The sequence below is a fragment of the Homo sapiens genome, chromosome 20 (genome assembly GCF_000001405.40).
Source record: "Homo sapiens chromosome 20, GRCh38.p14 Primary Assembly".
In the NCBI taxonomy this organism is placed as follows: domain Eukaryota; kingdom Metazoa; phylum Chordata; class Mammalia; order Primates; family Hominidae; genus Homo; species Homo sapiens.
Genome location: NC_000020.11, coordinates 17,930,705 through 17,941,599, shown reverse-complemented (window position 1 = coordinate 17,941,599; position 10,895 = coordinate 17,930,705). Strand labels below are relative to the sequence as shown.

The 10,895-nt window shown below is 50.2% G+C and overlaps 7 annotated features.

Annotated features, from left to right (window-relative positions):
• Nucleotides 516-1,107: an enhancer, noted in NCBI's record as "H3K4me1 hESC enhancer chr20:17921137-17921728 (GRCh37/hg19 assembly coordinates)". NCBI's record gives its function as "activates a minimal SCP1, AML or CMV promoter by ChIP-STARR-seq in naive H9 embryonic stem cells {active_cell/tissue: H9 hESC(naive)}" and the evidence as "EXISTENCE:reporter gene assay evidence [ECO:0000049][PMID:30033119]".
• Nucleotides 516-1,172: a biological region, named in NCBI's record as "H3K4me1 hESC enhancer GRCh37_chr20:17921137-17921728".
• Nucleotides 1,083-1,172: an enhancer, noted in NCBI's record as "active region_17571". NCBI's record gives its function as "activates an Ori minimal core promoter by ATAC-STARR-seq in GM12878 lymphoblastoid cells {active_cell/tissue: GM12878}" and the evidence as "EXISTENCE:reporter gene assay evidence [ECO:0000049][PMID:35858748]".
• Nucleotides 1,203-1,292: an enhancer, noted in NCBI's record as "active region_17570". NCBI's record gives its function as "activates an Ori minimal core promoter by ATAC-STARR-seq in GM12878 lymphoblastoid cells {active_cell/tissue: GM12878}" and the evidence as "EXISTENCE:reporter gene assay evidence [ECO:0000049][PMID:35858748]".
• Nucleotides 2,295-2,888: an enhancer, noted in NCBI's record as "NANOG-H3K27ac-H3K4me1 hESC enhancer chr20:17919356-17919949 (GRCh37/hg19 assembly coordinates)". NCBI's record gives its function as "activates a minimal SCP1, AML or CMV promoter by ChIP-STARR-seq in primed H9 embryonic stem cells {active_cell/tissue: H9 hESC(primed)}" and the evidence as "EXISTENCE:reporter gene assay evidence [ECO:0000049][PMID:30033119]".
• Nucleotides 2,533-2,662: an enhancer, noted in NCBI's record as "active region_17569". NCBI's record gives its function as "activates an Ori minimal core promoter by ATAC-STARR-seq in GM12878 lymphoblastoid cells {active_cell/tissue: GM12878}" and the evidence as "EXISTENCE:reporter gene assay evidence [ECO:0000049][PMID:35858748]".
• Nucleotides 9,878-10,078: a silencer, noted in NCBI's record as "peak4160 fragment used in MPRA reporter construct". NCBI's record gives its function as "represses an SCP1 promoter by STARR-seq MPRAs in K562 erythroleukemia cells {active_cell/tissue: K562}" and the evidence as "EXISTENCE:reporter gene assay evidence [ECO:0000049][PMID:32103011]".

Here is a 10,895-nt window from a genome sequence, read left to right as displayed (position 1 = left end):
TGTACGGCCTGTTTTCGTGGAAACTACAACCAGAGTGTGTCCCAGGAGTGCAGGTGGTGCTAGGGTTTGGCTGTGGTTACAGGGTTTTCAGGTTCTGCCCAGAGTCCTGGGGGCGGTCAGGGGAAATTTGTCCTAGTCTTGACATTCTTAAGTACTCCAGGCCTTTTTTAGATGGTCTCTAAATGTGGGTTTGTCTGTTTGCTCCTGACCTGATGGAGGTTTGCATTTTGGCCAGGGCCTTTACCATAGGGCAGTGGTCCCCAGTCTCAGGTCCATGGCTTGTTAGGAAGAGGTGAGCCAGCATTGCCGCCTGAGGTTCGCCTCCTGTCAGATTAGCAGCAGCATTAGATTCTCATAGGAGTGCAAACCCAGTATTGTGAACTGGGCATGCAACAGGTCTAGGTTGTGCGCTCCTTAGGAGAATCAAATGCCTGATGATCTGATGTGGAATGGTTTCATCTGGAAGCCATCCCTTTCCACACCCCACCTTGTCCATGGAAAAATTGTCTTCCACGAAACCACTCCCTGGTGCCAATGACATGTCTTCAGGAGTTGTGTGTCTATTCCTTTGTTGATGACTGAGCACTTAGGGTGGTAATCTCCTTTACCTTTCTAATAAGTAATTCATGGTAAGACCATGAGACTAAAAACATTTTACCCACCACATTTAGCATCTGTTACAGCCAACTGGTATGAGGGTTGCAGAACTGATTTCAATACATACAGGGAGCATGTTTCTTAACATTTATCTGGTCTTCGTGTCTTGCCTCCCCAGCTATTTACAGGCGGCCACAGTGCCTTCTACCTTCACAGTACATACTTGGGAAACGGTGCACAAAATGAGTGAATTTAAACTTGGCAGTTGTAACTTCAGTCTGGGCTCCTAACCAAATCTGTCCTTCCTACCCATCTCCCCCATAATGTCCACAGCAGCCACCCACACACGCCCAGCATTCTGTTAGTGTAGAGCCAGCACTCCTGCAGTCAGGTTCCTGGGCCGCAGTGCTTGAGCACCAGTGTGATCAGCCCTGATTGGTGGAGCTCTGGCTGTTGGCCTCGGGGCCTTGGTGCATTTTCTTGAGACTAAACCTTGTCAAATGGACAGCAGAGGCATGAATCTTGAGTGCTGGGTCTGCTGCTCACCAAGTGATCTAGGCTGCCTCTCTCAGCTGACTGATCTGTGAGCTGGAGTCAGCACTTCAGAGGCCCCTCAAATTAGTTTTATGCCAGCAATCTCTAATACAGCCTTCATGGATGGTATGATTGTAGATGTTTTACCTGCTGTATTTGTTCCAAGGCTTTTCATTAAATTGCACCTGACAGTCACTTAGGAAATTTGAGGCACTCTGGGTCAGGGATGTAGTCACCTTTCCCCTTCTGTCAGTCACCTAGTGAGTTGCTACCTTTACCTGTATGTGAGGGTGCATTCATAGTGGTCTGGGGTGGGGGGATGGGTTTAGATGCTGACTGCGACCTGTGTGGTGTGCTGAGACCTGGAAAGGCAGGCAGGCACTTGGCAGCAGGAGGAACAGCATCAGGTGGGAATCCACAGCTATCTTGCTGGAGTGCAGGAGAGCATAGGTCCCACATTGAGAAATGGGAATTTGGGTCACTTCAGGGTGATGTGTGGAGAGGCTTTTGCTGTGTGCTTGTATGGTTCTGAGAACTAGTGATCCTCCAGGAAAACCCATGTGGGTGCACAATTCATAGGGAACCCTTGAAGGTTTCTAGAAATGGGAATGGGAAGTGGTTTCAGATGGGCTGCCTTAAGGCATCCAGGCCAAAAAGGCTGTGACTTGCCCAAGGCACGGCTGAGAAAGTTGCCTCGTGGCACACGCAAAACTGCACAGTTCACATGTCATACGATTTCATTAAAAGCTAGGATCCAGCCTGAGAAACAGCGCAACCGTGTCTACAAAAAATGCTAACCTACAGTGGTGGCATACACCTGGAGGGCTGAGGTGGTGGGAGGACTGCTTGTGCCCAGGAGTTCAAGGCTGTAGTAAGTTAAAATCACACCACTGTACTCCAGACTAGACAACAGGGACAACTGCCATCCACCTCCCCTCTCCCCGCCCTCCCCCACTCTGAAAAGCAAAATTAGGAGATTGTCACGAGGAAGGAAAGCACACCCCTGGTCTGTGAAGCCGTTGAGGTCATGTCAGACCACTGGGGTCGTTTGTGGTGACAGAGCACAAGCATTTGGCCAGTTCACCACCCAACACATTCACTTGTGCCATCTCAGGGTTTAGGGGTCTGTTTTCTGAACATTTGCCTTGCGCACCTTTTCTTTGTGAGGTTTCTTTGTGGTAATTCCCAGGCTCAGCTCTGTGAAGGGCGATTTCCGTTTGGAAGGAAACCTTGCACCATCCGCTTTCTGCCTGTAGGCGGCAGGGGCGACCCAGCACAGCCACCTGCCCACCCACAGCTGAGCAGGAGCCTGGTATCCCCGCAGAGCTGCTCAGATTATCAGCTTATAGCTAAGGTAGCAGGAAGAGAAATGTCAGGCTACTTGAGAGTTAAGTAGTTCTGAATGGTGTTTTCCCAGACCAGCAGTCCCCTCCAGGATTCCTGCGGGCTTCAGGTTTCTGGTTACCCAAGACACAACCTCCATTGCTGAGGCCATGCTGTTCGAGAACTCCCCATCTGAGCCTGGTGTCAAAACAGTTGTGATGTTGATGGGGGTTCACAGCCAGGCCATGTGATGTGTCTGGAAGGAAGTTGGGGGTGGTGGACAACATTTGGGCAGTGATCAGTTATGTCCTTTAGACACAGCTGGGTCTGCAAGGTCCAGGGGACGCCCTTCCCCATCCACTCCTCGCACATACACAAGGTGCCCCTTGCGTGGGTGAGCTGCCCACAGTGATTTCTTATTGGAGGTTTGGTTTGTCACCATTCAAAACCATTGACTTTTTTGGTTTTAATGTTTATTTCTAACTTTAATACATGTAGGGATTTAATGAAGTCCCCACATCTTGTAAAACAAAATAACAGTAAAATACCACATCTCAAGAATAAGTTATTAAATGTTTCTAGATTTTTTTCCTATCCGAATAGGAATTGTTTACAAAAAACGATTCAGGATGCCAGCATTGGGGTTGGATTCTGGAGGTTTTCTGCTGTTGGTTCTCTCTCTCCGTGGAGATCCATGGAGGAGTTTTCCTGAGGCCCCAAAACAGCTCTTTTGCATCTTTGTCCTTCCACGGCCTGCTTCCCATGAGGAAGAGGTGAGGGCCCCCTGCAGACAAGCACAGAGGCCCTGAGCCTCCCAGCCTCTTCCCTGCCTTCAGCAACCACCCCACCCAACCAAAGTCTTCATTAGCTAGAAGTTGTGAATGGTTTAGGTAGCTGTTTGGGAGGATTTTAATTTTTAATTGAGCCTTTCTTTTTTTTGGTTGGTTGGTTGTTTCTGAGACAGGGTCTCACTGTTGCCCAGGCTGGAGTGCAGTGGTGCGGTCATGGCTCATGACAGCCTCCAGCTCCTGGGCTGAAGCCATCCTCCCACCTCAGCCTCCCAAGTAACTGGGATTACAGGCACACGCCACCATGCCTGAGTAATTTTTTTAAAAAAATCTTTGTAGAGACGGGTCTTGTTATATTGCCCTGGGTGGTCTTGAACTCCTGGCCTCAAACAGTCCTCCCATCTCAGCCTCCCAAAACGGGATTACAGGCATGAGCCACTGCCCAACTGGGCCTGCCTTATTTTTTAATACATGCTTTACAAACCTCCTTTAAAGCTTCTTAAGTTGTGGGACCTGTAATATTCAGGCCAGGAAAATAACAGCCTGTAATCCTAGTCCACAGCCACTTCTGATAGTTGCCTTCCAGCTCTTATCCACGTTCATTAATACATTTGGTGTGTCCTCAGCTAAAGGAACAAAGGCCTGTTTGGGGGGATTTTTCGCATCAGTCAAAGGGTAGGGATTTGGGGGTTTGGGGTATAGAGTTTCCACTGAAACTTGCTGCAAGGAAATGGAGCAGGAGACTGGCCAGCTGCTTGGGTTTCAGGAACTGTTTATGAACGGCCTTACTTTTTAACTGTTACATTGCAGATCCTTTCCAGTTGTTCTGATGGGGTTTGGAGAGGGAATGGAGGTCATGTGTTTGTTGTTTACCCCATCCTCTCTACATTGCAAAAAGACAGGGAGGGGATGACCCATGCTCTGGACGGTCAACCTAAGACAGGGCAAAGTCAAGGAACAGTTAATAAGAACGGTGCTGTGCGGTGTTAGGCTGTGTATCAGTTACCCCTAAATCAGGCCGGATACCCATAGCAATTCTTGACATAGCTTCCCATTGCTCTGCCCTGCTGAAGTTAGGAGGTTTCTGCGAAGCAGTTGGCACACTTCGCATGAGGGTGGAAACCCGTAGCTAGAGCCAGCCTTCAAGATTCCAGCTGGATGCAGCTGCAGCTCCCGGGGCCTCTCAGCTCCTTGGATTTGTTGATTGTATCATGATCCCGTGATTCAGTCCTGTTGGGAGGCAGGTGGCTGGACATTTATCTGGGGGCAGAAAAAGTGTCAGAAGTAGGAGAAAGAATACACAAAAAAGACCCTAAGGGGAGGAGAGGAAAGGAGCCAGAGAGAGCCTGCAGACAGCAATGTAGGAAGCCCCATTCCTGCCTTCCTATGAAGCTGATCTTGGCCTGCTCAGCGAATGCCTCAGAAGACAGGAAATCCCAAGCCTGCAGTCTCGAGAAAAACATTGGAAACGCCTGCTGCGAATCCCAACAGGGCTCGCGCTATGTGTTTTTCTAAAGTCTGGTTCATGTCTGCAGTGCTTTTGACCCCTTTTGCACTGTCTGTTAAAGCACTTGTCGCCATAGGAGGGGGCGGGGGAGTGAAACTGACCAGATGTGACTCGCCTCAGAATTGGGGGCAAGAGGTGAAGCTGGTGTGAGGGGAGGGGCTACTTGCAAGGGTCCTTGTTGCAGGGAAGAGGGAAATAGGGTCCAGAAGCTGGGATCGTCATGCCAACTCCACCACCAAGTACTAGGCTGGGGTCTGATTTCAGTTTAGTTTAGGGCTAGGTACAACCTAAGGAAACTCCCAGACTCTGCCTTCACCCCCTACGTTTTATTCACTTGCAACAGCCAAAGGAATCTTCTTCGCACATGAGTCAGATTGTGACCCTACTCTGCAAATACCCTTCATGACTCCCTGTTTGACTCAAAGCCCCAGTCCTTCCAACAACTACAAAGCCCTACGTGATTTGATGTCCCCAACTCCAACGTTGTATTTTCCAACAATATTTCCAGTCCCGTATACTCTTCTGTAATGTGATCTTGCAGCTTTCCCATCAGAAGGAATCGGATCCCCCTCCTCTTGAACCTGGGTTGGCTGGAATGGCACATGTGTAACCCACCAGAACAGGACAGAAGTGACGCTGGCGGGTAACCTCCAGGTACAGAGCGGAGGAAGCCTTGCTCTTGGGCCACTCTCTTGGAATGTGGTTGCCATCCGTGAGGACCCACGCCAGATACAGAGGTCCCACATTCCAGTGAAGCCCCGTCTTCACGTCCTCCCAGCCCAGGAAGCAGACAGGTGAGTGAAGACCTCTCCAGAGCAGCAGTGTTCATAAGGACTTTCTGTGTGACGGGAATGTTCGGTATCTGTGCCGTCCAGCCTAGTGGTCGTTAGCCACATGTTAGCTGGGATTTAGATAAAACATGGAACACTGCCAAATTTGAATTCCATACAACAAATAATATAGTGTAATACATACCATGCAATATTTGGAACATAGTTATTCTAAAAAAAAATTTGTTGATTATTTAAAATTCGGATTTCACTGGGTGTCCTGTATTTTTATCTGCCAAGTATGGCAATTCTCTCTTTTGTAAAAATTATTTTAATTTTTTATTTTTTACAGAGACAGGGTCTACCTGTATTGCCCAGGCTGGTCTCGAACTCCTGAGCTCAAGGGTTCCTCTCACCTCGGCCTCCCAAAGTGCTGGGATTGCAGGCGTGAGCCACTGCGCCCAGCCAAGTCTGGCACTTCTCTATTAAGCACCTGGAATGTGGCTGGTGCAATTGAGGAAGCTAAGTTTTTATTTTGCTTAATTTTAATTAATTTCTGTTTAAATAGTCACATGAGCCTAGGGGCTACTGTATTAGACAGTTGCCCCCGCAAGACACTCACATCTTCCTAGCTGAAGCCCCAGATGTTATGTAACAGAGACGAGTCATTCCCACTAAGGCCTGTCCAGACTCTAGCCTCCCAGAAGCCCAAGCACAATAAAATGGTGGTGGTTTTATTGTGGTTGTTTCCTGCATGAAATGTGGGGTGGTTTGTGATCTGCAAGTGTAGCTGAGCTCCCCTGACCTCTGTGAACTTCCCTCCTGTGCCATCCCTCTCCTTCATCCCCATCCAGCCACACCTGTTCCAGGACACCCCAGGCTCTCCTGCGCAGGCCCTCTGTTCCAGTTGTCCCTGTGCTTGGGATGTTCCCACCCAACCCTCCCCACCCCCCACCAAAGATTCTGATATCAATAGTACAGGGTACAGCCTAAGTATTGGAGGTTTAACATGTCTTCACCTGGTGGTCCTGATGTACAGCTAGGGTTGAGAACCAACCACTTGTTTAGTTCAGTCACAGTTACATCCTGTGAGCCGGGGCTGTTTTACAGATGAGGAGAATGAGACTCCAGGAGATTCAGCCAGGCCCCAGAGTCAGAGGGTGAGAAATGGTGCATCCCGGTAAAATGTTGGGTCCTCCCCCTACTGTGCAAGGACAGGTTTGACCTGAAGGCAGAAGCCTGGGCTGAGGCCCCTGAACTTTGGAGGGGCCCTCAATCCCCCAGGAGGTAGCCGGCGACCTCCCCTGGCCTTCCTCCCCCATGGCTGGGCCTCTTTCCTTAGCTAATCAGGCTGATGAAAGGCCCTGCTGCCTGCCCACTCCCTCTCTGTAATTTGCTCGTCCTTCTCTCTAATTTTATAGCCTCCTCAGCAGTTTCCCAAAGATCGGGGGCTCAGTTTCCACTGGACCCCCCTCCCTGGCTTAATGAAAGGGGCTGCTTTGCAGCCACTGACTAGCTAAGGGTGGGGATCATTCTTAAAGCCCTAGGGGATGGGAAGATGTGTTGGCAAATGTTTTAGAGCAGGGGCCAACAACCCCTTTTGTCCGCCAAGTGCTATCCTAAGTCCCTTTTTAGCCACTTCTTGAGAAAGGCCCTTACAAGAAGAAGCGGGCGGGAGGCGGCGAGGCCGACTGCTGGGTGTGGAATGTCCGGCTCTGGGTGGTAGCCTCCTTGTATTATTGCCTTATGTTGCGGTTTAACTGCTCTTGCTCATTTTCCTCGGGGTCTTATTTCCCCGGCTGGATTGCAGCTCCCTTAGGGTAAAGACTCTGTGATGTGTTTGAATCACCCAGGCCTCCCAGGGTTCTGCCTCTGTCTCACTCCCTGGCACCGGTGACCATGGCCAAGCTCCTGAAGCTCATCCCTTTCCACGTTGGTAAAATGGGAGGGGGGTTACTCTGAGCACAAAAGGAGAGTCCAGTTAGTGAAGGGGCTGCCACCCCTGCCTGCCCCGGAGAGGTGTTTGGAATACCGGTCCTATCTCAGGGGAGAGTCGTAGTTGCCACTAGGAGGAGGGGCTGTGAGCGCTGAGGTAGGCCATGCACAGCCTCAGTGAATGCTTAATGAACATGACCTTGGTGTTCTCTTATGGGCCCCTGCCCATCTCCTGGCTGCAGCTATGCACACAGTAGACTTTCAGTCTATGCTGTCTGTGCCTTTGCATGCAGAGCCATTGGTCTGGGGACTAATTCTAGGGGTTTCATTTCTGTAAAAGAGCTCCTGTCTTTGGGCTTCCATGGTGTAGCCAGGCTGGGCTAGCAGCTCTCCTGCGGCAGTGCAGAGCCTGCTCTCCTGGCTCTGGCTGGGGCTGGCCCTTTGCTCAAGTGCCTCTGGGGGCAAAGTCGTTAGCCAGGTGGGCTTGGAAAATTCAATACCCAGCCTGAAGATGGAGGGTCCTCCCCTTCTCATGGGTCTCCTCTGCTGAAATGCCTCCCTAGAGTCACCCTTTGCTCTCCATCCCCTCCCCTGGGATCAGCAGTGCTGTTCTCAGTTTTCCTCAGGGCCCTGGACCCCCAAAGTCACCTGCAGTTCCTTCCTGCACACCCAGTGGCATCCTACATCAGGACCTGCCTGCCTCTCTTCTCAAGGGCACCCCTGATGGCAGGGGCACACTCCACCAAGCTGGGAATGCCCAGAGTTAGCACACACTCCTACTGGGGCTTCCTGGGGCCATCCCCCCACAAAATGCTTCTGCTTGAATCTTCCTTTTGGGTCAGCTCTTGGGGAAAGCTGGGCTAAGGCAACATTACCAAGCAGTCACACGTGAATTCCAGGGACTCTTGCTCTGTGGTTTTCATCCCAAGTTGCAGAGGATTTCCCCTGAGTGCCCAGGAGGGCAGGAGGGCTTCTGACCAGGGCAGGAGGTGCCATGGGAGATGGCTGGGTGAGGCCAGCCAGAGGCTGCGGGGGACCCTCCCCCTCACCCCTCTTCCTCAGCCTTCCTGACGCTCTGAGAGTTGAGGGGACCCCTGGCCAAGGTCTAACAGCCCCTGATGTTTTCTTTCCTTTGGTAGCTTTGCATGAAATGATGAAAGTCTATTTAATGAGGTGCTGGGATTGTCAGAGGCTTCTCACTGTTGAGAAGTTTTTTTTGTCTCCCTGTTAGGGACTGTTCAGGTCTCAATGCAAGTTAGGAGAAGAAAAGGCTCAGACCAGGGATCCCTGATGCCTGGCCCAGCTCTTGGTGGTGGGAGGAGGTGCCTCTGTCCAATGGCCTGAGGGAGCACCAGGCAAGATGTGCCACAAGATACCTGTGTCCCTACACCTGCACTAGTCTCTCCGCCTCAGTTATCTCACCTGAGAAACAGGGCTGGAGAGTGGGGTCTGCAGACCCCATTAGTGGGTTGCAGGAAAGGAGGAAGTCCCTTTACACTCTAGAGGGTTATTCAAGTGCAGTGACCACTGTCATTCAGGGATTGAGGGCCCAGAGCCAGGCGGGCAGCTGGGAGGTGCCCAGAATACGTCTTCTTAGTGAGAGCGCTGTGGCCAGCTGGATGGGAGCCCCTAAGGCAAAAGATGAACTTGTTTATTCCACAAATATCTGAACCCCTACCAGGTGCTGGGCGCTAATAGTGGTAGACAAAATAGAGAATCTCCTTGCCCCCATGACACTCATATTCCATGGTGTGTGTGTTGGGGGAAGAGAGACAATAAACAAATAAGCAAGTAAATACATAAAGAAGCGAGGTGGTAAGTGCTATGGCAAGATATATACGAAGGAGAGTGATGGGAGAGGGGCTTTTTATATGGACTGGCCAGGGGAGACCTCACTGAGCAGAGACCTGAAGGCAGTGAGAGAGAAAAGGCCCATGGAGTTTGCAGGGAGTGGGGTTTCAGGCAGAGCAAAGAGCAAGGGCAAAGGTCATAAGTTAGGGGCATGTTTAGTGTGTTTGTCAGCTGTTGTTAGCTACATAACAAACTACCCCCAAACTGTTTATTTTATTTATTTATTTATTTTTGAGAAGGAGTCTTGCTCTGTCGCCCAGGCTGGAGTGCAGTGGCATGATCTCGGCTAGCTGCAAGCTCTGCCTCCCGGGTTCACACCATTCCCGCCTCAGCCTCCTGAGTAGCTGGGACTACAGGTGCCCACTACCACACCCGGCTAATTTTTTTTTTTGTATTTTTAATTTTAGTAGAGATGGGGTTTCACCATTCACAGGATGGTCTTGATCTCCTGACCTCATGATCCACCCACCTTGGCCTCCCAGAGTGCTGGGATTACAGGTGTGAGCCACTGCACCCAGCCCAAACTATTTATTTCTAATGGCTGTGCTCAGCTGGGCAGTTCTTCTGGTAGCTGGGCTCACTCAGTTGTCAGAGGTCAACTTCCAGGTCTGCTGGGGCCAGCTGGCTGGCTCAGAATGGGGTCAACTGAGATAGCTTGTCTTAGTTCTGTGTGGGCTCTCATCCTCCAGTGGGCTAGCCCAGGCTGTTCTCATGGCAGCTGGGCGGGGTTCCAAGAGAGTGAGTAGAAGCTGCAAGGCCCTTGAGGTCCACTTGGAACAAGCACACCATCCCTTCTCCTGCATTTCACTAACCAAAACAACTTACAAGGGCAGCCTAGATTCAGGGGGAGGGAAAACAAACTCTATCTTTTGATGGGAGAAGTGGCAAAGATTACAGCCACTTTTGCCATTTACTATATAATCCCCCATTTTGGGGGGGTGAGAAACCAGGCCTCAGAGAGGCAAAGGCACAAGCCACTTGCCCAAGACCACACACTGCTGAGATTCACATCCATGCCTATGGGTTTACCTTCATGATTTGTGCCTTTTCCAGTATTGACTGTCTTTTGTTTATCCATTAAGTTTCTTAAATTGATTTTTTAATTTCCCCAAAATTACATGTTAAGGTAGAAAATACAGAAAAGCAAATAAATCACTGCAATGGCAAGACCCAGAGGTGATGTGCCAAAGCAACCCTTCAGGCTTGTTTCCCACACGCACATGTGACTCCATACCCCAGCTACACACACACACACACACACACACACACACTCAAATACTTTCTCAGGTGGTGTCTTTATCTCATGTGAAAATAAAGAAAAAGTGGCCACAGGCTTGGTGCCATGTCTCACACCTGTAGTCACAGCATTTTGGGAGGCTGAGGCAGGAGGATAGCTTGAGGCCAGGAGTTCAAGCTCAGCCTGGGCAGCATGGAGAGACTCCATCTCAAAAAAAAAAAAAAAAAAAAGAACAGCGGCCACAGGGAGATTTCATCTCTAGGAGGGTCAGATAATTTGGAGATATTTATGTTTTTAAAATCACGCAGCCTGGGCAACATAGGGAGACCCTGTCTCTACCAAAAAATAAAAAA